Genomic DNA, 22,929 nt, shown 5'->3' on the forward strand with positions numbered 1-22,929 from the left:
TGACCTGGCTCGTCTTGAACCCCTGACATCAGGTGATCTACTCACCTTGTCCTTCCAAAGTGCTGGAATTACAGCTATGAACCACCTCACCCACCCTTGAATGAATGTATTCTTGACTTCTACCCTATCCCTACCACTGTCGATTTCTTGCTTCATGAAGTGAATATAGATATGTGATATGAATGGACATCTGATTCAATCCGGTAATCTGGGGAGAGCCAAAAACCCAATCAGGATTAACTGGGTGGAGCTTCACAAATGCAATCAGATATCATTTTTTGATTGGAAGGTAGCAGCGGATATGTGCAGGGGCGTGGGTGGGAGTTGTGATTAGAAAGGTCAATAAAAGCTTCTAAAGACGCACAGGAGAGACCCAAAGTCTTCAAGCCTGGAGTTCCTGCTTGGTTCTTCCTGAGGACTGAGCACCTTCTAGACTACATCCAGATCTGGTAAGCCACTAATTTCTGTAAGGACACTCCCATCTGACCTACAGTCAGTCGGTCTGGGATGGTGACAGTGCAGCCTACGATGGCACAGAGCTATATCCTGTCCTTTTTTTTTTCATATGAACAATTTGAAGCTTGAATGTTTTCCTCTAAATGCAGTTCTGTCTTTATTTCAAAAAAGTTGATTGTGCTTTGGTTGATGCCATTTTAAAATTCGTGAAGGGAGCAATGACTCATGTCTTTAACCCCAACACTTTGGGAGGCCAAAGTGGGAGGATCATTTCAGCCCAGGGGTTTGAGACCAACCTGGGCAACATGACAAAAGCCCTCCTCTACACAACGTTTTTTTTTTTTTGAGGGTGGGGATGGAGTCTCACTGTGTTGCCCAGACTGGAGTGCAGTGGCACGATCTCAAATCACTGCAACCTTTACCTCCCGGGTTCAAGCAATTCTCATGCCTCAGTCTCCATCCTCAGAAGCTGGTGTCACAGACATCTGAAACCATGCCTGGCTAATTTTTGTATTTTTAGTAGAGGTGGGGTTTCACCATGCTGGCCAGGTTGGTCTCGAACACCTGACCTCAAGTGATCCACCTGCCTTGGCCTCCCAAAGTGCTGGGATTACAGCTGTGAGTCACTGGTGCTTGGCCTCTACTTTTTTTTATTTTAATTAGCCGAGCATGGTGACATGCATCTGTAGTCCCAGCTATTTGGGTGGCTGGTGTGGGAGAATCACTTGAGCCCAGAAGATTGAGGCTGCAGTGAGCCATGCTCACACCACTGCTGTACTCCAGCCTGGGCAAAAGAGAGAGACCCTGTCCAAAAAACAAAAACAATATCTTAACCAAAAAGGATCTATGACCTTAATTTTAAACCAATCACGTCCTCACTGTAATTCTTCCACTCGAATGGAGACATGGGTGTGGGGGTGCATGCCTGTAATCCCAGCTACGTGGAAGGCTGAAGCATGAGAATTGCTTGAATCTCAGAGGTGGAGGTTACAGTGAGCTGAGATGGCGCCGCTGCACTCCAGCCTGGGCGACAAAGTGAGACTCAGCTTCCCCCACACCAAAAAAAATTAGATTATACCACCCAGGTGATCATTGGATACATGAAGATTTCTATTGTGTGTTCTTGGGGACTGTCAACTCTGTCTTTGAAAACTGTTTTAACTCTGAAATATTTTGATAAATTTGATGTGGCCGAGGATCCCTCAACAAAGATACTTTCAAGTTTTTTCTTTCTGTCTAATATCAGGAAGAGATTCAACCCTTCCCTATCTCACACTCAGGACTGTGAAGGACACATATTAATAAAACCCCATTTTGTTTGTGAAGGGAATCAGTGAATGAGTCCTGGGCTTCCACCCCATCCCTAAATCTTTCACTTTGATGGGTGAATATCTAATTCCATCAGTAAATCTGGAAGAAAGCCAAAAATCCAATCAGGATTAACTGGGTAAATTCGAATCAAATCTAGCTCTCTCTCTCTCCTTTTTCTTTTTCTTTTTTTTTTTTTTTTTTTTTTTTTTTTTTGAATCTAGCCTATTTCCCAGGCTGGAGTTCAGTGGTGTATTGTCAGCTCACTGCAACCTCTGCCTCCTGGGTTCAAGCGATCTTCCTGTCTCAGCCTCCCTAGTAGCTTGGACTATAGGCGCAGACCACCGCAACTGGCTAATTTTTGTAATTTTAGTAGAGGTAGGGTTTTACCATGTTGGCCAGGCTTGTCTCAAACTCCTGACCTCAGATAATCCACCTACCTCTGCGTCCCAGAGTGCTGGGATTACAGGTGTGAGCCACTTCGTCTGGCCTTGAATGAATGTATTCTTGACTTCTACCCTATCCCTAACACTGTCGATTTCTTGCTTCATGAAGTGAATATAGATATGTGATATGAATGGACATCTGATTCAATCCGGTAATCTGGGGAGAGCCAAAAACCCAATCAGGATTAACTGGGTGGAGCTTCACAAATGCAATCAGATATCATTTTTTGATTGGAAGGTAGCAGCGGATATGTGCAGGGGCGTGGGTGGGAGTTGTGATTAGAAAGGTCAATAAAAGCTTCTAAAGACCCACAGGAGAGACCCAAAGTCTTCAAGCCTAGAGTTCCTGCTTGGTTCTTCCTGAGGACTGAGCACCTTCTAGACTACATCCAGATCTGGTAAGTCACTAATTTCTGTAAGGACACTCCCATCTGACCTACAGTCAGTCGGTCTGGGGTGGTGACAGTACAGCCTACGATGGCACAGAGCTATATCCTGTCCTTTTTTTTTTTCATATGAACAATTTGAAGCTTTGAATGTTTTCCTCTAAATGCAGTTCTGTCTTTATTTCAAAAAAGTTGATTGTGCTTTGGTTGATGCCATTTTAAAATTCTTGAAGGGAGCAATAACTCATGCCTTTAACCCCAACACTTTGGGAGGCCAAAGTGGGAGGATCATTTCAGCCCAGGGGTTTGAGACCAACCTGGGCAACATGACAAAAGCCCTCCTCTACACAACGTTTTTTTTTTTTGAGGGTGGGGATGGAGTCTCACTGTGTTGCCCAGACTGGAGTGCAGTGGCACGATCTCAAATCACTGCAACCTTTACCTCCCGGGTTCAAGCAATTCTCATGCCTCAGTCTCCATCCTCAGAAGCTGGTGTCACAGACATCTGAAACCATGCCTGGCTAATTTTTGTATTTTTAGTAGAGGTGGGGTTTCACCATGCTGGCCAGGTTGGTCTCGAACACCTGACCTCAAGTGATCCACCTGCCTTGGCCTTCCAAAGTGCTGGGATTACAGCTGTGAGTCACTGGTGCTTGGCCTCTACTTTTTTTTTTTTAAATTAGCCGAGCATGGTGACATGCATCTGTAGTCCCAGCTATTTGGGTGTCTGGTGTGGGAGAATCACTTGAGACCAGAAGATTGAGGCTGCAGTGAGCCATGCTCATACCACTCCTGTACTCCAGCCTGGGCAAAAGAGAGACACCCTGTCCAAAAAACAAAAACAAAATCAATCAAAAAGGATCTTTGACCTTAATTTTAAACCAATCACATCCTCTTCCACCCAAATGGAGACATGGCTGCAGGGGGTGCATGCCTGTAGTCCCAGCTATGTGGAAGGCTGAAGCATGAGAATTGCTTGAATCTTGGAGGCCGAGGCAACAGTGAGCCGAAATGACACCACTGCACTCTAGCCTGGCCGATGAAGTGAGATTCAGCTCCCTCAACACCAAAAAGACTTATGCCACCTAGGTGATCATTGGATATATGAAGATTTCTATTGTGTTTTCTTAGGGACTGTCATCTCTGTCTCTGAAAACTGTTTTAACCCTGAAATATTTTGATAAACTTGGCATGGCCAAGGATCCCTCAACAAAGATACTTTCAAGTTTTCTTTCTTTCTGTCTAATATCAGGAAGAGGTTCAACCCTTCCCTGTCTCACACTCAGGACTTTGAAGGACACATATTAGTAAAACCCCATGTTTGTGAAGGGAATCAGTGAATGAGTCCTGGACTTTCACCCTATCCCTAAATCTTTCATTTTGATGAATGAATATCTAATTTGATCAGTTAATATTTAAGAAAGGCAAAAATCCAATCAGGATTAACTGGGTAGAGATTAAGAATTCTAATCAAATGTAGCTCTCTCTGTCTCTCTGTTCAATCTAGCCTATTTCCCAGGCTGGAGTGGAGTGGTATAATGTCAGCTCACTGCAACTTCTGCCTCCTGGATTCAAGCGATCCTCCTACCTCAGCCTCCCTAGTAGCTTGGACTACAGGCGCAGACCACTGCACCTGGCTAATTTTTGCTGTCTTAGTAGAGGCAGGGTTTTACCATGTTGGCCAGGCTCGTCTTGAACTCCTGATCTCAGATGATCCACCTGCCTCGGCCTCACAAAATGCTCAGATTACAGGTGTGAGTCACTGCACCCAGCCAAAGTGGTTCACTTTGAATATGTGTAAGAGGTGTGCATTGGAAACATCTATCTTGTGAGTAATGCATAACAGTGTCACATAGCTTTCAGAGCTTCTCACTGAAATTTTCAATAATGAGGCAGGGGTGGAGGCTCACACCTATAATCCCAGTATGTTGGGAGGCCAACAGGGGTAGATTGCTTGAGACTAGGAGTTCAAGACCAGCTTGGACAACATAGCGAAATCCACTGTCTTTACAAAAAGTCAAAAAATAAAAGATGAGCTGGGTGTGGTGATGCATAACTGTGGTCCCAGCTACTTGGGAGGCTGAGGAGGAAGAATCCTTTGAGCTGGGAGGTCAAGGCTGCACTGAGCTGAGATCCCACCACTACACTCCAGGCTGGGTGACAGAGCAAGACCCTGTCAGAAAGAGTGAGAGAGGGAGAGAGAGAAAGAGAGAGAGAATGAGAGAAGGGATGCAGGGAAAGAAGACAAGAAAGAAAGAAGGCAGAGAGAGGGGGAAAGAAAGAAAGAGGGAGAGAGAGGAGGAAACAAAGAAAGAAGGGAGGGAGAGAGGGAAAGAAGGAAAGAAGAAAGAGAGAGAAAGAGAAAGCAAGCTTAAATAATGAAAAGAAAACAAATAGAACCTGTTCTAGGGATGCCCCATGAATGTTCCCAACAAGCTTATTTGTAGGAACTGAAAATGTGGGCATGTAGGCTTGTGACATTCCCATTCCCATTGTTTTAGAACCTTGAGTAATTAGTAATTTCCCCCAATGGTAGGAGGGGTTCACTTTCAGGTTCCTCCACACTCACTAGTCACTGGATGGAGCACTGGATAGAAAGGAAGGGCTCGTGGTGGCCCTGCTTCCTCACTGCTTCGGAGACGCTCATGCTGATGCAGCAGAGGCAGAATGCTGGCTTAATGGCCACTGAGTACAGGGCAGAATTGGAGTAAACTGAGGGCTGTTTCACCATTGCCAGAGCAGTGACTTTGGCCTTGGGAGAAGATAAGATTGCATGGGCTTGGCCTGAGAGTGATGCCTTTTCTCTGGGTTTGTCCTCTGGAAGTTTTCCCTGCAGATTCGTGAAGATGAGCATCCGGACTCCACCCAGACTCCTGGAGCTTGCAGGGCGGAGCCTGCTGAGGGACCAAGCCTTGGCCATGTCCACCCTGGAGGAGCTGCCCACAGAACTTTTCCCCCCACTGTTCATGGAGGCCTTCAGCAGGAGACGCTGTGAGGCCCTGAAGCTGATGGTGCAGGCCTGGCCCTTCCGCCGCCTCCCTCTGAGGCCTCTGATAAAGATGCCTTGTCTGGAGGCCTTCCAAGCTGTGCTCGATGGGCTGGATGCACTGCTTACCCAAGGGGTTCATCCCAGGTGAGGTGGCCCAGGTGGGCTGGTGGGGAGGGCCCAGGTATCCAACCAAAGGAAGAGCTGTGTCATGACAAGTGAGGAGGCCCAAGGGGGATGGTGGTGGTGAGGAAGCCGAGAGGACTTGGCCATTCACCAGCTCCTCAGGGAAAGCACTGCTCACCACGCAAGGTCCATGGAGGTAACAGGAACCTCTCCTCTAATGGCACTGAAAGGCACCATGAAAAGTGAGAACTGGGCCGGGCACGGTGGCTCACAATGTAATCCCAGCACATTGGGAGGCTGAGGCCAAGAGTTGGAGGCCAGCCTGTCCAACATGGTAAACCCCAACTCTACTAAAAATACAAAAATTAGCTGGGCATGGTGGTGGGTTCCTGTAATCCCAGCTACTTGTGAGGTTGAGGCAGGAGAATCATTTGAACCCGGGAAGCAGAGGTTGCAGTGAGGTGACATCACACCACTGCACTCCAGCCTGGGCGACAGAGGGAGACGTGGTCTCAAAAGAAAAACAAAAAAATGTGGAAGTGGGCAGGATCCAAGGGGAAAACAGGGTGAAGAAAAGTCAGAGAGAGGGACAAGAAGCAGGGAGGGGAGGAGCTGCTCTCCAGGATGTGGAGTTTAAGTTCAGAAATGAGTTCTGAAATTCTCATTCTCACCTCTATTTTCCCACAGGAGGTGGAAACTTCAAGTGCTGGATTTACAGGATGTCTGTGAGAACTTCTGGATGGTTTGGTCTGAAGCTATGGCCCATGGGTGCTTCCTCAATGCCAAGAGGAACAAAAAACCAGTGCAGGACTGTCCAAGGATGAGAGGACAGCAGCCCTTGACTGTGTTCGTAGAACTTTGGCTCAAGAACAGGACTCTGGATGAATACCTCACCTGCCTCCTTCTATGGGTCAAGCAGAGGAAAGATTTACTACACCTGTGCTGTAAGAAGCTGAAAATTTTGGGAATGCCCTTCCGCAATATCAGAAGCATCCTGAAAATGGTGAACCTAGACTGTATCCAGGAGGTGGAAGTGAATTGCAAGTGGGTACTGCCCATCCTGACACAGTTTACCCCATACCTGGGCCACATGAGGAATCTTCAGAAGCTCGTTCTCTCCCACATGGATGTCTCTCGCTACGTTTCCCCAGAGCAGAAGAAGGAGATTGTTACCCAGTTCACCACTCAGTTCCTCAAGCTGTGCTGCCTCCAAAAGCTTTCTATGAACTCTGTTTCTTTCCTCGAAGGCCACCTGGACCAGCTGCTCAGGTGAGGGAGGGTGGTGAGCTTTCTCTGCAGACCACAGCAGAGCCTGTTACAGTAAACGCTAGTGGGCATCTACTGTGAGCCAGCCTATGAGGATGAAACAGTGAAGGGGACACTAGAATGTCCATGCATTGTCCTGTTGGCGGCCCTGTCCTGAAATGGGTATCATGCAACCCTCCCAATAGAGGCAGAGGGATCAGCTAGGGGAGATGCTATGGAGAGGCTGCCATGCTAGGAAGCTAGCTCCTGGGGGGTTCAGATCTAGTGAGGGTGCCTTTCTGAATTCTTCCTGAGGATGTGTGTCTAAGTTAAGATGATGAAAAATAGGCCAGGGGCGGTGGCTCATGCCTGTAATCCTAGCAGTTTGGGAGTCTGAGGCAAGAGGATAGCTTGAGCCTAGGAGTTTAAGACCAGTCTGGGTAACATACCAAGACCCCTGTCAGAAATGAATAAATAAAAGTAAAAACAAACAAGATAACTTTCTTTTCTGAGATGGAGTTTCACTTTGATCGTCCAGGCTACAGTGCAGTTGTGACATCTCAGCTCGCAGCAACTTCTGCCTCCCAGGTTCAAGCGATTCTCCTGCCTCAGCCTCCTGAGTGCCTGGGATTACAGGCGTGAGCCACCACACCTGGCTAATTTTTATATTTTAAGTAGAGACAGGGTTTCACCATGTTGGCCAGGCTATTCTCCAACTCCTGACTTCAGGTGATCCACCCACCTTGGACTCCCAAAGTGCTGGGATTATAGGCGAGAGCTACCACGCCCAGCCAACAAGATAATTTTTAAGAAGATGATGTGAAGTAGGGAAGTGAAGTGGGCACTGAAGAGGGGAATGCTCAGCAAACCTGCACATGTCAGAAAATCAGCTTTGTGCCCCACAGTTTCGTGAACATGAATGATCCCATCTCTAATTCCGTGTTGTAAAAGTTTCTTTTGAGCTCCAGGTAAATTAATTACCTAGGAAATGCATGATTCTGAAACAGAGGGTCAGGGAGCAGGCACAAAGAATGGTGAAAGTGATAGATGGTTTGCTGATGATACAGGCTTGTCAGGGACGCCTGCAGCCCGCCCACCGTAGCTGATGTTGCAGGATCCTGTCTGGGTTTGTCCTTTATGCCTGAATCTCCACTGGGCTCCTGTGGCCCAGGGATGTGGTTTTCTGCCTGACAGATGAGGAAAGGGAGCTTTAGGGATTCTGTGAACTTGATCCATTCCTATAAATGATGGTGAAGTGACTCAGCCTCAAATGGAATTATTTTTTTCTCCTTTTTTTTTTAATGCGGAGTCTCTCTCTGTCACCCAGGCTGGAGTGTAGTGGCATGATCTCTGCTCACTGCAACCTACACCTCCTGGGTTCAAGCGATTCTTCTGCCTCAGCTTCCCAAGTAGCTGGAATTGCAGGCTCCCGCCACCACACCTGGCTAATTTTTGGATTTTTAGTAGAGAGGAGGTTTTGCCATGTTCAGCAGGCTGGTCTCAAACTCCTGATCTCAAGGAATCCACCAGTCTCAGCCTCCCAAAGTGCTGGGATTACAGGTGTGAGTTACTGGGCCGGGCCTAAAGTGGAATTGACCTCGGTGGCAAAGCTCTTCATCACACATCATCCTAAATGTTGACCATCAGGCCATCAGAATGACCCTGGACTTGGGCAAAATGGTCTCCATCCATTACCTTGAAGCCATTCCCCACCACCCTCCACTCACCCCTATGATTCCCCAGAATTAACTTCTTGCTCTCTCTCCCCAGCTGTCTGAAGACCTCGTTAAAGGTCCTCACAATAACTAACTGTGTGCTTTTGGAATCAGACTTGAAGCATCTATCCCAGTGCCCGAGTATCAGTCAACTAAAGACCCTGGACCTGAGTGGCATCAGACTGACCAATTACAGTCTTGTGCCTCTCCAAATTCTCCTAGAAAAAGTTGCAGCCACCCTTGAGTACCTGGATTTAGATGACTGTGGCATCATAGACTCCCAAGTCAACGCCATCCTGCCTGCCCTGAGCCGCTGCTTTGAGCTCAACACCTTCAGCTTCTGTGGAAATCCCATCTCCATGGCCACCCTGGAGAACCTGCTGAGCCACACAATCATACTCAAAAACTTATGCGTGGAGCTGTATCCTGCCCCCCGGGAGAGTTATGATGCTGATGGTACTCTCTGCTGGAGCAGATTTCCTCAAATTAGGGCTGAGCTGATGAAGAGAGTGAGGGACTTAAGGCACCCCAAGAGGATCTTGTTCTGTACTGACTGCTGCCCTGACTGTGGCAACAGGTCATTTTATGACCTGGAGGCAGATCAATGCTGCTGTTGAATGCCTGCCTATTTGGGTGGATATGTCAAACGCTTTCTTCTGGACACTTGGAAACTAAAACCTAGGTCTTAGGTACATCCTATAGGGAGCACAGAACCCATCATTTCACACATGGGCTCTGAAAGTGGGAAAGGAAAGGTGATCAAGCAGGGGCAGGACTTGGGGGAAGTGTTGCCATGGATTCGATGGGACTTTGGGGACCTGTGTCCTGTAGAGTGGAAAATGGGAATTTGAATGTCTAGAGTGGAGGCTTGAGAATACTTGAGGGAGTTACTCTTGGATGCATGGTTGTAAAGAAACAATCAGAAATAAAGGAAAACTGAGTGGTAACTGTCTGGTGCCCTCTATTATTAAGTAACCTGTTTTCCAGTTTAAGCCTCAGGAATCTTCAGTTATTGACGGAAAAAACAAAAGGCACTGAGTTGTCCAATCAATAAGATGCTACCCAAGAAAATCAAGGCATTTAAATGAAATTTGGTTATTGTAATCAGTTTCCTCCCATTCTTTTATTTGAGACAGAGTTTCACTCTTGTTGACCAGGTTGGAGTTTAGAGTGCAATGGTGCCATCTCAGCTGACTGCAACCTCCACCTGGGGTTTAAATGATTCTCTTGCCTCAGCCTCCCAAGTAGCTGAGATTACAGGCATGCACCACCATGCCCAGCTAATTTGTGTATGTTTAGTAGCGACAGGGTTTCCTCACTATGTTGGTCAGACTGTTCTCAAACTCCTGACTTTGGGTGATCCACGCAAGTAGGCCTACCAAAGTGCTGGGATTACAGGCGTGAGCCACTGTGTCAGGCTTGTTTTTGTTTTTGTTTTTTAAAGGTCTCCTGTCACTCAGGCTAGAGTGCAGCGGCACAATCATAGCTCACTGCAGCCTCAATTTCCTGGGTTCAAGCGATCCTCCCACCTCAGCCTCCTGAGGAGCTAGGACTACAGGCGTGTGAGCAACCATGCCTGTTTGCTTGTTTTTTTAAGTGGTGACAAGGTCTCGCTGTCTTGCCCAGGCTGATCTGGAACTCCTGAGCTTGTGATTCTCCTGCCTTGGCCTCCCAAAATGCAGGGAGTATAGGCGTGGACCACCACGATTGGCTTGGCCTCCTCCAGTTCTTCACTTCTTTAGATGTCTGTTAATTCCTTGTTAGTTTCTGTGGCTGTTCAGTGGGTTAATACACACTAGGTGGAAACCAAGGGTCTGGAACATTACTGGGCAAGAACAGTGAGCCAATCCACGTGGAAAGCACCTTCTTCTCAGGGTCTTTCACTGCTAGCCAGATGCTGAGACCCTGCCCACTCCTTGTGAGTCTCCACATGGTTCCAGAAGCCTTAGTTGGTGGATGTCAGCTTCACTGCACAAGGAGCCACTCTCTTCCCGCTGCCCTGGAAGGGGATGTCCATATTGTGTATTAGCTGGAGACTCTGGGCAGCACCAACCCTTGCTTGTTCTCCTGATGACCAGCAGCCCTTCTTGAATTAAACTGGTTGTAGCCAGTAAAGACAGCCACATTCCCTTTAAGTAAAATACTAAAACTACACAGGTATGTAACACTTTTTAAATATTTCCATCTGACATTTAAAAAGTTACTTCTTATTAGGGAGCTAGGTCAGATCGATGAGAGATTTTCTCATAACACCTCCCCTCTCTCCCTATCAAGGAAGAGACCAGTGCAGCGTGTTCTGGAATCTCACATGATCAAAGGGTGGATAACAATCAAGTGCCTGTGGGTGATGAGTGACCTTCCCTGTGCTGAGGAAGCCTGCATAATGGGCACCCAAGTGAAGGATCCTGCTGAGGATTCAGGGGCTGGTATTGCTGTCAGGGATCTTAACCAAGAGCCTCAGGTCCCTGTAAAATGAGGATGATGTCCAACGGCTTATAGGACCCTGCAAGGATCCAATAAGATGGTTCATGTTTAGGGCTTGGCATGGGGACTGGCATACAGTTAGATGAATACATCTTGTTCTTTTTTCTCTTCTCAGCAGAAGTCCCAGCAATTTTCATCTTTCAATCTATCTCACCTCCTATTCCTGATAACAGGGAGGCAACAAGAACCCAGGGCATGCAATGGGGCTCATCTTCTACCCTCTGCCACAACTTCATCATGACTCCCCCAAACAGCAGAGCCCCAGGAGCCAGCAGGGGGCAGGGTGGGCATTTCTGGACTGGATTCATTCCTAAGAAGAGTAAAATGTCCAATCCATAGGTCTCGGGTGCCATCTGCTGGTAGATCAGATCAGATGGTGTAATTTAATGTTGCAAGGATTATATTATATGGTATTTTTTTAAATTTACTATTATGAGCCAGGAGCGGTGGCTCGTGTCTGTAATCCCAGCACTTTGGGAGGCTGAGGCCATTGTCATGGCCAGGCTTGGTGTCTCACACCTGTAATCCCAGCATTTTGGGAGGCTGAGGCGGGCAGATCACTTCAGGTCAGGATTTTGAGACCAGCCTGGCCAACATGGTGAAACCCCGTCTCTACTCAAAATACAAAAAAAATTGCTGGGCGTGGTGGCATTCGCCTGTAATCCCAGGTATTCAGGAGACTGAGGCAGGACAATCACTTGAACCCGGGAGGCGAAGGTTGCAGTGAGCTGAGATCGCACCACTGCACTCCAGCCTGGGCAACAGAGCAAGAAAAGAAAATTTACTATAATGTGAATACTAGTTGAGTATAAATATTTGTGTTGTAATTTATGTATATGAAAGATATAAAACTTTTAAAGAATGCAATGTGATATTTTAAGAATGGTTAATGGCCAGGCGTGGTGGCTCACGCCTGTAATCCCAGCACTTTGGGAGGCCGAGGCAGGCAGATCACGAGGTCAGGAATTTGAGAGCAGCCTGGCCAATGTGGTAAAAACCCGTCCCTACTAAAAATACAAAAAATTAGCCTGGTGTGGTGACGGGCCCCTGTAATCCCAGATAGTCAGGAGGCTGAGGCAAGAGAATCTCTTGAACCCAGGAGCAAATGCTGTTGACCACGTGATGCATGGAAACGTTTGTCATGGGTATAGCCACTGAATTGCTAACTTAGGGACGTCAACATTAGCTCACTACCAATAATATAAATACATTGGATTATGGAAAAAATTGCCTTTGTGATACCATATCCATGTGTGACATGAGAGTCCAGCAATTGGCCCGGTGTGGTGGCTCACGTCTGTAATCCCAGCACTTTGGGAGACTGAGGCGCATGGATCACTTCAGGTCAGGAGTTCGAGACCAGTCTGGGCAACACGGTGAAACTCTGTATCTATTAAAAACACAAAAATTCCCACCTATGAGTGAGAACATGCGGTGTTTGTTTTTTTGTCCTTGTGATAGGATGGGAATTGAACAATGAGAACACATGGACACAGGAAGAGGAACATCACACACTGGGGCCTGTTGTGTGGGGAGTGGGGAGGGATAGCATTTGGAGATATACCTAATGTTAAATGACAAGTTACTGGGTGCAGCACACCAACATGGCACATGTATACATGTGTAACTAACCTGCACATTGTGCACATGTACCCTAAAACTTAAAGTATAATAAAAACAAATACAAAAATTAACTGGGCGTGGTGGCAAGTATCATCCCAACTACTGGGGAGGCCGAGGGAGGAGAATTGCTTGAACCCAGGAGGTGGAGGTTACAGTGATCAAAGATCATGCCACTGCACTCCAGCCTGGGCAACAGAGCGAGATGCCATATCAAAAAAAAAAAAAAAAAAAAAAAGAGAGAGAGAGAAAAGAAAACAAAACAAAAGAAAGTCCAGCATGGTAAAAGGTACATAGAGGTACATTTGGGTGAGCTTCCTTTGTTTTTCATTCTTTTTCCCTTCTCTGGACAGAATTCTCAATGCAAAACATTCCAAAAACACAGAGCAAGTGTCTTCTATAACCTTCCCTTTTTTTGAGACTTCTCTTCACAGTGTATGTGCTAGTGTCTTCCAGACTTTTGTGTGACATGCTATACAGAACATCAGATCAAACGGGCACATCCCTAATAAGTGGTGACTTGCCAGATCTGGACTCACTTTGCAGGGTGCTGGGACCTCTCTGAGAATCAAGCAGTAGCTCCAGGAGCCAGGGCTTTGGGTCTCTTCTGTGCATCTTCAGGAGTTTTATTGACTTTTCTCACCACAACCCCCTTCTCAATTACCAACTTCCAATCCAAAAATGACATCCAACTGGATCCTGAACTTCCACCCAGTTAACGGTGATTGAGTTTTCAACTTTCTTCTTATTAAGTGATTAAATTAGATATGGATTTATGAAAGTGAAAGAATTAATAATAGGGTGAAGGACTAAAACTCATTTATTCACTTATTCCATAAATATTGGTAAAGTTTTACCAATATGTGACCTTCATAGTGATACAGGGAAGGTTTTAATCTGTTTCAGACATTAGAAATACATATATTTATATATGGTATCTTTATTGGAGAACCTTTGGCCACATCAAAAGTATCAAAACTTTTCAGAGTTAAAACAGCTTTAAGAAGACAGTGATGTCATCCCTAAAAACACAATAAAAATCTCAGTGTATCCACTGGTCACCTGGGTTTTGCGCTACCTAACATGGTAGATCATATGCCCATTCAGGTGGAAGACAGGAACTACTGAGGGTGTAATTTATCTCAAGGTTAAGGTCAAGGCATCACTGAAAGAAATCAGGCCTAAATTACAAAGTGAGGTGGAGGTTGGGCTGGACAGTACTGACTGTTCTAATGGGACCCTAGGAGGGAACCAAGACAACATAAAACATGGCAGGTATTTTGTGGGCATCTAGACAAAAGGATTGAAAGACTTCCTTCTACATTGAGTTTAAAAATTAAAAAAACCTAATTACAAAAGAGATAATGCAGACTCGTAAAACATCACAGTGTCTTTGAGGGCAGAGAGGGCAGACACAATCTTGACTCCTACTGGAAGGTGAAGCATCATTACTCACAAACAGGATGGGCTTCCCTCAGAATACCAGCTTGGGAAGAGTGAATCTGAGTGTGTGAGCTGGGGCAGAGCCCAGAGAGGAGCAGTGTGGTCAGACATAAGGAGGGAGACTTTTCAATCTGGAAGCATGAATGGTGCAAGCTGTGTATCTGAAGAATTTGGGAGAAAAATGAACCTCTTGGGGGAATCCTGCACCATCCTCAGGACCCCAGTGAGAATCCTGCAGTTTCGGGGGTCTTTCTACCATGTTCTGGTTGCCTGTGCTTCTGAAGGTGCTCCTCTGCTGTCCAGGTCAGAGTAGCTTTCAGAGCCCATCTGAAGGGACGGCCTGACTTCAATTCCACTCACAGAATTTCTACTGGGATTCCAAAGCTTCTCCAGGCTTTTGATGGGGGTCTCTAAAATATTTCTGAATTTCTGTTTTCCTCCCCCAGCCTGAGCTGTGAGAGAAGCTGAATCCTCTGCTTCCTGGAAATGTCAGCCGATCTCTCCTGCACCGAGGACTATGGCCACAAACAATGCTAAGAGACACTCTCCCTGGAATCAGCAGTGACTCATACATTCTCCCCAAATTCTACTGAGCTTTTTGGGTGCACATAGCAAGGCACAAAGCAGGGAGCTCCTCAGCTGCTCTTCCGGACCTAAAGAGGCACCCAGGACCAATGGAGGGGAAGTTTGTCTGCCTTCCACAGGAAGAGCTGACTCCTCTGGTTTTCCTAGAAGTGCCAGGCTGTTGGCAGAGCCTGGGACAGGTCCCAGTGCAGGGGGCCATCCCTTCTAGGATCCCCTTGCCCAGTCTTAGAGCTGACGAGGCTGCACCTGGAATGCAGTGAGTCTGTTTCTGAGTCAGGGCTTTCTTTGCCCATGGTGTTTGCCCTCTCCATGTTTCTAACAGTAGAAATCACTGTTCAGGCCCTGCTGGACTTCTTTAGTCCTCAACAGGATCTCATTCCAGGTCGCATTTGTGACCGTCTTTTCCAAGATCAGGGGCTGCCCCTCCTTTTTTCCCCAATAAAGATCTGAGGAGAAGCTCACTCTGAAAGCAGAGTAGATGCCTAAGAAGGTGCTTGTGGCAGCCTGGGGTGGGGGAGGTCTGGGAACTCGCTGCAGGCTGGATGGAGCCAGGAGGACTAAGGAAAAGAACAGGGCCCAGAAAGGGAGTGGCCCAGAGGAGCTGATGTGGGCCAGAGTAAGTACAGAGGAGAGAGATGGCAGCAGGGTAGGGGGCCGGGTTATTTGGCTTTCACAGAGCCGCGTCCCTGATAAGCTGTGGACTTGTGTCTGAGATCCTCAAAGGACCTGTGCCTGGATGTGGAGCTGTGAGTTTCTAAGGCCCTTTGATTTCACCCTGGTCTACATGAGGTTCCAGTGGCTGCCCCATCTCACCCCAGGGGCAAAGAGTCAGTCTAGCAGGGAGACATGGGGAGAGAGAGTCAATGGCAAACATCCACCCTGGATGCAAAGACAAGGGACATGTCAGAGGGAGGGAGACTTGGTGTGAGGCCAGGGGAAGGGAGGCACGTTGGATATGGTGCAGTTCTGTCTCTGCACTTGCCACAGCCTCATAGGACTGTGAGGATTGAACTTTGCAGGAGGGAATGAGGTAGAATGGGGTCTGGACTGGAGTCCCTGTCATCCAAGTGACCCCCATATCTACTCCTGCCAACCAGGTGAAGGTCTTGCTAGATGTAAGTCAAACCAGGACCTATCAGACTGCCTGGCACTTTCTGATGGATCTAGAAGGAGCACAGTGATCCTCAGTCAAAAAAAATCTTGCATTGTCCAGGGCTGAGGATTTTCAGGTGGCCCTGGAGGGGGAGACTCTGGGGAAAAACCACAGAGAAGATTTTGGCACATTTGACACTATTAACATCCAGTGCCTCCCCTTCCTATTGGTCGGGTGTGGTGGCAGGAGAATTGCTTGAACCCGGGAAGCAGAGGTTGCAGTGAGCTGAGATCACGCCATTGCACTCCAGCCTGGGTGGGCAACAAGAGTGAAACTCTGTCTCAAAAACAAACAAACAAACAAAACAAACAGACAAAAAAATGTGAAACAAAAAAAAAAAACCTTTGAATGAGTGCCTGCAATGTGCCACCTACTATTCTGGGTGCTACTTAGGATAAACAAGAAGCAAGGCAGCTGCAAAGTGAGCTCAACAGAATACACCTGGCTTGGCAGTGCAGTGCAGATCAGAAAAAAAATGCCTGTGCAGCATAAAATGTGAAGAGACATCTTCTTTGCTTTTCTTTTCTTTCTTCTTCTTTTGAAAGACAGAGCCTTACTCTGTTTCTAAGGCTGGCGTGCAGTGGTGCAATCTCGGCTCAGTGCAGCCTCGGCCTCTCAGGCTGAAATGATCCTCCCATGTCAGTCTGCCAGTTAGCTGGAAACACAGGTGTGTTGCATGGAATATCTTTTTCTACCCCTTCACTTTCAGACTACATGTGTCCTTATAGGTGAAGTGAGTTTCTGGAAAACAGCATATAGTATGGTCTTATTCTTTTACTCATTCAACGACCCTAAGACTTTCACTTGCAGAACTGAGATATATTGTCTTCATTGTTGTTATTGATAAAGGCTTAGTACTCCCATTTAATTTCTTGTTTTCTGGTTGGTTAGAGACTTCTCTCTTCCATCCTTCCTTTCTTATTGTCTTTCTTTGTGTTTAAGTAATTTTCCCTTATGAAATCCTTGGGATGTGACTTTTCTGGCCAGAAGCCTCTATGGCTGGGGGCACCTTTGCCGGAGTTTTGATGGGGTTCACTGGGTTTGTTCTGCCCACTCAGACTGGTAGACTATGCTTGGCTCATGCTTCAGGCCTGGATCACATGCCTATTAAGGGAGGGTCAGGACTGGAGCAGTGAGGGGTGTGTGAGTGAGCAGGGGGTCTGGTCACTTTGGACAGTCACTGGCTCCCGCAGCAGTGGGGCAGGCAGCTCCAGGTGCCAGCACAGGTGCCAGATTTTTGCAAGGCTGCAAATGAACCAGGCACAGCAAAAGCAGCTTCCATGTTTGTCCCTGGAGTACACAGTGGTGTCTGCTGCTCTTTCCAGGAAAGTCATCTCATCATCTCCACAGCTCTCAGTAGAGAAAAGGCCCCAGAGTGGATTGCTTGTCTGCAGGAAAATCATCCCAAGAGTGGGTAGTTTCACTCTGCCACTGTTCATCCTGATGTTTTCCCTGAGTCTGGGGCTGTTGGGGCATCATGGGGAAGGAAGTATGTGCTGCTTGGGTCATAGGTAGCCATTGGCAGGCACAGAAAAGGCACCACATATTCCCACTCTGGTCCATAGCACTGGTGGACCAGCCCACGGGCTTCAGGCCCCCCTTGGTCACAAGGTAGAGCCTCACCAGGTACCCTCGTCTTCCCATCCAGGAGTCTGTCTGCCTCCCACCACCACCCATGGCGCCCAGGTCACTTGCATCAAGGAGCATCCAAAGGCCAGCACTGATCTGTCCTCAGCCCCCTCTCAGCCTCCCTCCCATGCTCATCAGGGCCCAAAGCCCAGAGTGTTCAAGACAGCAGGCAGACGGTGCATCAGCACGAACCTGAGCATGCACACGCTCATCTGGGCTGCCACAGCATACATGCTTGACCCCAACTCCGCTCCAAAATTACAGCAGGTGCCAGGAGGGACCACACAGTGGGAGCAGACACCCCCATGCTGCAGGAGAAGGGGAGACCTCCTGAGCCCTCAAGAGCACTGGGGGACCTTGGTTGGAACTGCGACCTGGGCAGCTTCAGTTGTGCCTTTGGAGCTACTGTCCTGCCAACTCGGGAGGGCCAGGACTCCCTCTTGTCCCAGGATCCCATCAGGTTCAAAGTGTATGTAGCCTCAGTTATGCCCTCTCTCTGTGTTTCTCCACAGAGGTGACAGGTGAGATGCAGGTTCACAGCAGCTCTGGCCAACCCTGCAAAAACAAACCCAATGCTTCTGGGTCTGGTTGAATGAGCCCCAACTGCACTCTAGTTAAGAATATTGCAGGCTAACAGCAGGCCGTGAGGAGTGAGTTTGAGGCTTTGTAGAGGCTCCAGACCCGGGAGCGGGTCTCATTAAGCCATGAGAGGGTGTGGGTGGCACAGCTGTCTGCCTCAGGAACACGGGGCAGAGGCCTGGCTCACAACCCTGCCAAGGTGGGGTGCCTCCAGGAGTGGACCGTGGTCCCCAGACCCAGCAATTAGGAACGTCAGTCTCTGTGGTCACCCCTGTGGGGGGCAGATCTTGGAAATGCAGCCCCAGGAGGATTAGCACAGAACCTCCCTTCGACACCCAGGAACTTGGCACTGTTAGCAGGGTGGGCACAGTGGCCCCATAGCTGGCCAGGTCATTGAACTAGGTGCCATTTCTGCTTCCCAACAAAGGCCCCTGTAGCTTGATCCCAGCTCTGCCTACCACCTCAAGCCCATCTTCTCCTCGGGGCCCCTCTCTGCCCGTCCCTTTGTGCCTGACTGAGCTGCTCCTTGCAGGCGAAAATGTAAGGAAAAAACAGATGACTGAAGAGAAGTAAAGAATGGGTGGAGATCATTGGCACACCCGTAATCCCAGCACATTGGGAGGCCAAGGTCAGCAGATCACTGAAGCCAGGAGCTCAAGACCAGCCTGGTCAACATGGAAAAACCGCGTCTCTACTAAAAATACAAAAACTAGCAGGCTTGGTGGCACTTGCATGCAATTCCACCTACTAGAGTGGCTGAGGCATGAGAATCACTTGAGCCCCGAAGGGTAGGATTGCAGTGAGCCCAGACGGGACCACTGCACTGCAGCCTGGGTGACAAAGCAAGATGTTGTCTTTTTTTTTTTTTTTTTTTTTTTTTTTTTAAAAAAAAGCAAAGAAAAAGAATGGGTGGGAATTAGATGTTTTGCAGCTGAATCTCAATCACAGACAACAGAGTACTTTGATACTTTTCCATCAGTAACTCAATAACTAGAGATTTCTGATGTATAAATCGCTAAAACAAGTCAATCAAATACAGAGGACACCAGAAAGTTTTCATTGAGGTTATTTCTGATATTTCTTGGTAACCGTCCCTGCAGGGATAACATTCTCATCACTGTAGAACTTTAGCTTCTCTTTCTGACTCTGTAGGACATGGGTCCCGTAAGGTCTCATTGACTCCACCTCCACATTTTCCTCCAGTCTTGCCCCCTGCTGTTATCTTTTTTCCCTCATACTGAGCACCTGCCTGAAGCAAAGAATTCTGTGCTTCCTGTAAGTTGCATGTGGCCTGGTCACAATCACTCATGCCAGTAATCCTGGCACTTTAGGAGGCCAAGGCAGGAGAATCCCATGTGCCCAGCAGTTTCAGACCAGCTGGGGCAACACAGCGAAACCCTGTCTCAAATGTTCTTTAATAAAATTTTAGAATTATTAAAAAAGGAAATAAGAAAAAACAAACATAACTTGCACTTACATACTAGATTTTAGTGTCCAAGTGCCTGGAAGAGAACTTTGGATTTATCAACCCCACTAGGCACGCCTTCCCTAGCAGCAAAGATGGAGCTCCAGTTCCTCAGACGGTGATGAGCCACAGGAAGGGCAGGGAGTGGGACCAGTGAAGATCCTCTTGGGCTGCCTGACTTCCCTCAGTGTACACATCAGCTCAGCCCGAAGTGGGGCGAAGATCTCCCAATCGACACGAACCAAGGAATTCAAACTCTCCTCAGGGGCAGGATACGTCTCCAGGCTTAACTTGCTCAGCCCACTGGTGTGGCGCAGCAGGTCCTTCAGGGTGTCCGTAGACATGCAATTTCTGCCAAAGTAGAAGGTGGTGAGCTGGGAGCAGCGGCTCAGGCCAGGCAGGATGGCGCTGAGTTGGCAGTAGTGGATCTGACAGCCCTCGAAGATGAGGGTCTTGAGAGTGGCAGCAATTTTCTCTAGCAGAGCTCCGAGGGGTTCAAGACTGATGCGGAACAGCAGCACGTAGCTGAGATTCAGATGCTTTAGGTAGCTGAGGCTTGGGTACTGAGACAGACACTTCATGTCCTCTTCCAATAGGTAGCCACAAGTTAACTCCAAGTTCTCCAAGGGGTTCTGGAGGCACCTGTGGAGATCAAGAAGTTAGTTCTGGGCAGTGATACCAGTTAGATGAAGGTGGTGGGGAATAACTGAAAGGGAAATGTCTGCTTCACCCAAACACAAGTTTATTCCCATCATGTGATGATGGTCCACATGCAAGTTGCTCTGTGATGAGGACTCTGATCATTCAGGGGCAGTCCTAGTTTAGCCTCAATCCTTTCACCATTGCTTGTGTGATTGGTTCAAGGCCACAAAATCACATCACTAAAGCCTCTTTTCTTCATCTTTTAGCAGAAAACTTCATCTCTGGGCCACAGGTACCCGGTGGGAGATGTGCATGAAGAACTCAACTGAGCAAGGTCTAGGGTCATCAGCTAGGGCTACCTACTGGCAGGGGCTCCCTGACGTGCCTGCATCTGCAAACCACCTATCACTTTTTACCACTCTCACGCCTACTCCCTCAGCCTCCATTCAAGAAGCACACATTTCCCATGTCAGTTACCTTTCCTGGGGTTCAAAACAACCTTTTACAGACAGGGAATAGAGACAGGATCATTTGTGATCACTAAGCTGGTGAGGACAGAGTTTCTACTGTGAAATGCACAGGTTTGATGCGCTGTCCCTCCTTTCATACCCTCCTCTATTACCTCTTTCCTATCATATCAACTTGAAACACACTTTGTAACAAGAAATTCACATATGCACCCCCCAGTAGAGCTGAAACCCCCACTACCTGGCTTGTACATGATGTAGCTCTCTAGCCTCTACCCCAGGTGACCCCGCTGCCCTCATTGCAGAGATCCTGTGATAGCCACTCCGGAACATGGAGCACTGAATGGGACAATGTGTTGATATTCTGGTGTCCCCTTCACTGTGATGTCACCACTGGCTGACACAAAAGTTATGCCTTCTAGCGTTTGCTGTAACAAAAAAAGGCTGTGCTGTGGTCTTCAGAGAAAGTGCACGATCCTTTCTCACCTGATCAGCTGTTCCAGGTGCCCACTGAAGAAGGTGATCAATTTTACTTTAAGCAATTGGAGGTGTTCCAGCCTGAGGAACACAGGCTGAATTTGGTGAGTAACCATTCCTCGAGGTCATTGTCCGAAGAGTAATGATGGCACCTGGAGAAAACGAGTTTGCGAAGATTCTTCATCTCCTTCAGGTAACAATGAAGCTTTCTTATCAGATGCAGCCAGGACATGTTGTGAATTTCCAACTCCTGAATACTATTCAGGTGGACTATTTTCAATGACTTTCTAAGATATTTAATGGGTGTTAGATAATTCACCAACTTACTACAGCACAGGTGTACTAAAACTCTCCTTTGGTAAACCCACTGGAAGAGGTATCTCAGGCATTCATCTTGGGGTGTTTCCTTGAGGCAGACGTCTATGAACACCTTTAAGGGCTGGTGCTCTCCCATCCTTGGATAGTCCTCTGCTGTCTGCCTCTTACTCATGGCCTCTGGGGAGGAGGACAGGGCCTAGCCTCCAGGCCATCCAGCCCAGACATTCTCATCAACATCCAGCAAGTCCAGCACTTGAAGTTTCCACCTCCTATAGGTAAAGTAAGGGAGAAGCTCAGAATTTAGAAGGACCCATCCCTGACTTTTGCTTTCATTCTCATTGCTCCCTGTTCTCTCTCTGACTTTTCTCAGTCCGTTTTCTCTTTTGATTCATACTGCTCCCCACTTCTAGTCCCTTTACCTTCCACTGGGAAAAAGCAGGTTTCTGTTCCCACAGTGGACCCTGTATGGTGAGCAGTCCTTTCTCTGAGGATCTGGACAATGGCCAAAGCCTCCTTGAGCTTCCTCACCAGCACCATCAGAAGACTCTGGGCTACCCTGAGTCAGGCTGGAAAACAAGCCGCTTTATTGTATGTATGTATGTATTTATTTATTTATTTATTTATTTATGGATTTTGAGACCGAGTTTTGCTCTTGTTGCCCCGGTTGCAGTGCAATGGTGTGATCTCAGCTCACCGCAACCTCCGTCTCCTGCGTTCAAGCGATTCTCCTGCTTCAGCCTCCCGAGTAGCTGGGATTACAGACATATACCACCATGCCCAGGTAATTTTGTATTTTTAGTGGAGATGGTGTTTCTCCAAGTTGGTCAGGCTGGTCTCCAACTTCTGACCTCAAGTGATCTGCCCACCTTGGCCTCCCAAAGTGCTGGGATTACAGGCGTGAACCACTGCACTCAGCCTTAAGCCACTTTATATAGGGTTAAATAAACCCCCTCTGAGGGGACTTTGTGATTTGTAGAAGGTGACTCCCCAGGCCCTTTAGTTAGGAATTGCGGACCTTCATGTCCCAACTTCTCCTTTGGATGCAGAGAACCTAATTATAATGCATTTAAATGTAAAGCCTCAACCACCAGGTGAACCTGGGATGTATGTGACATGTATATTTGCTTACCATACATGCATGCATCCCCCACCCTGTGAATTTTCATAGCTGCTCCAATGACCTGCTGAATATGCACACTTGGTGGCCAACAGGTTCAGCATAGATTCCTGGGTCACTTTCCCTCCCTCCAAGCGCTTGCCTCAGGTCCTGCCTGGAGGCCCATTTCCCAGCGAGCAGGTTGTAAACCTTTAGAAGAAATTACGCTCCTTTTTTCTAAATCTATAGACCCCATAATTTTTAGTGGACCTCACTGGTGTTAGAAGTGGGATTCAAAGGGGA

At 47.6% G+C, this 22,929-nt stretch overlaps 1 protein-coding gene and 1 pseudogene across 1 annotated transcript; one reads left to right on the forward strand and one right to left on the reverse strand.

Moving 5' to 3' along the window:
• Positions 1-371: 371 nt before the first annotated feature.
• On the forward strand, positions 372-9,609 carry PRAMEF5 (PRAME family member 5). The gene is made up of 4 exons (NM_001013407.5): positions 372-449; positions 5,421-5,729; positions 6,396-6,977; positions 8,724-9,609. Exons 2-4 carry the CDS (start codon positions 5,443-5,445, stop codon positions 9,283-9,285), a joined length of 1,431 nt encoding a protein of 476 aa, NP_001013425.2. The 5' UTR covers positions 372-449; positions 5,421-5,442; the 3' UTR covers positions 9,286-9,609.
• Positions 19,081-21,801, reverse strand: PRAMEF32P (PRAME family member 32, pseudogene; annotated as a pseudogene).

Source organism: Homo sapiens, chromosome 1 (genome assembly GCF_000001405.40).
Source record: "Homo sapiens chromosome 1, GRCh38.p14 Primary Assembly".
Taxonomy (NCBI): Eukaryota; Metazoa; Chordata; class Mammalia; order Primates; family Hominidae; genus Homo; species Homo sapiens.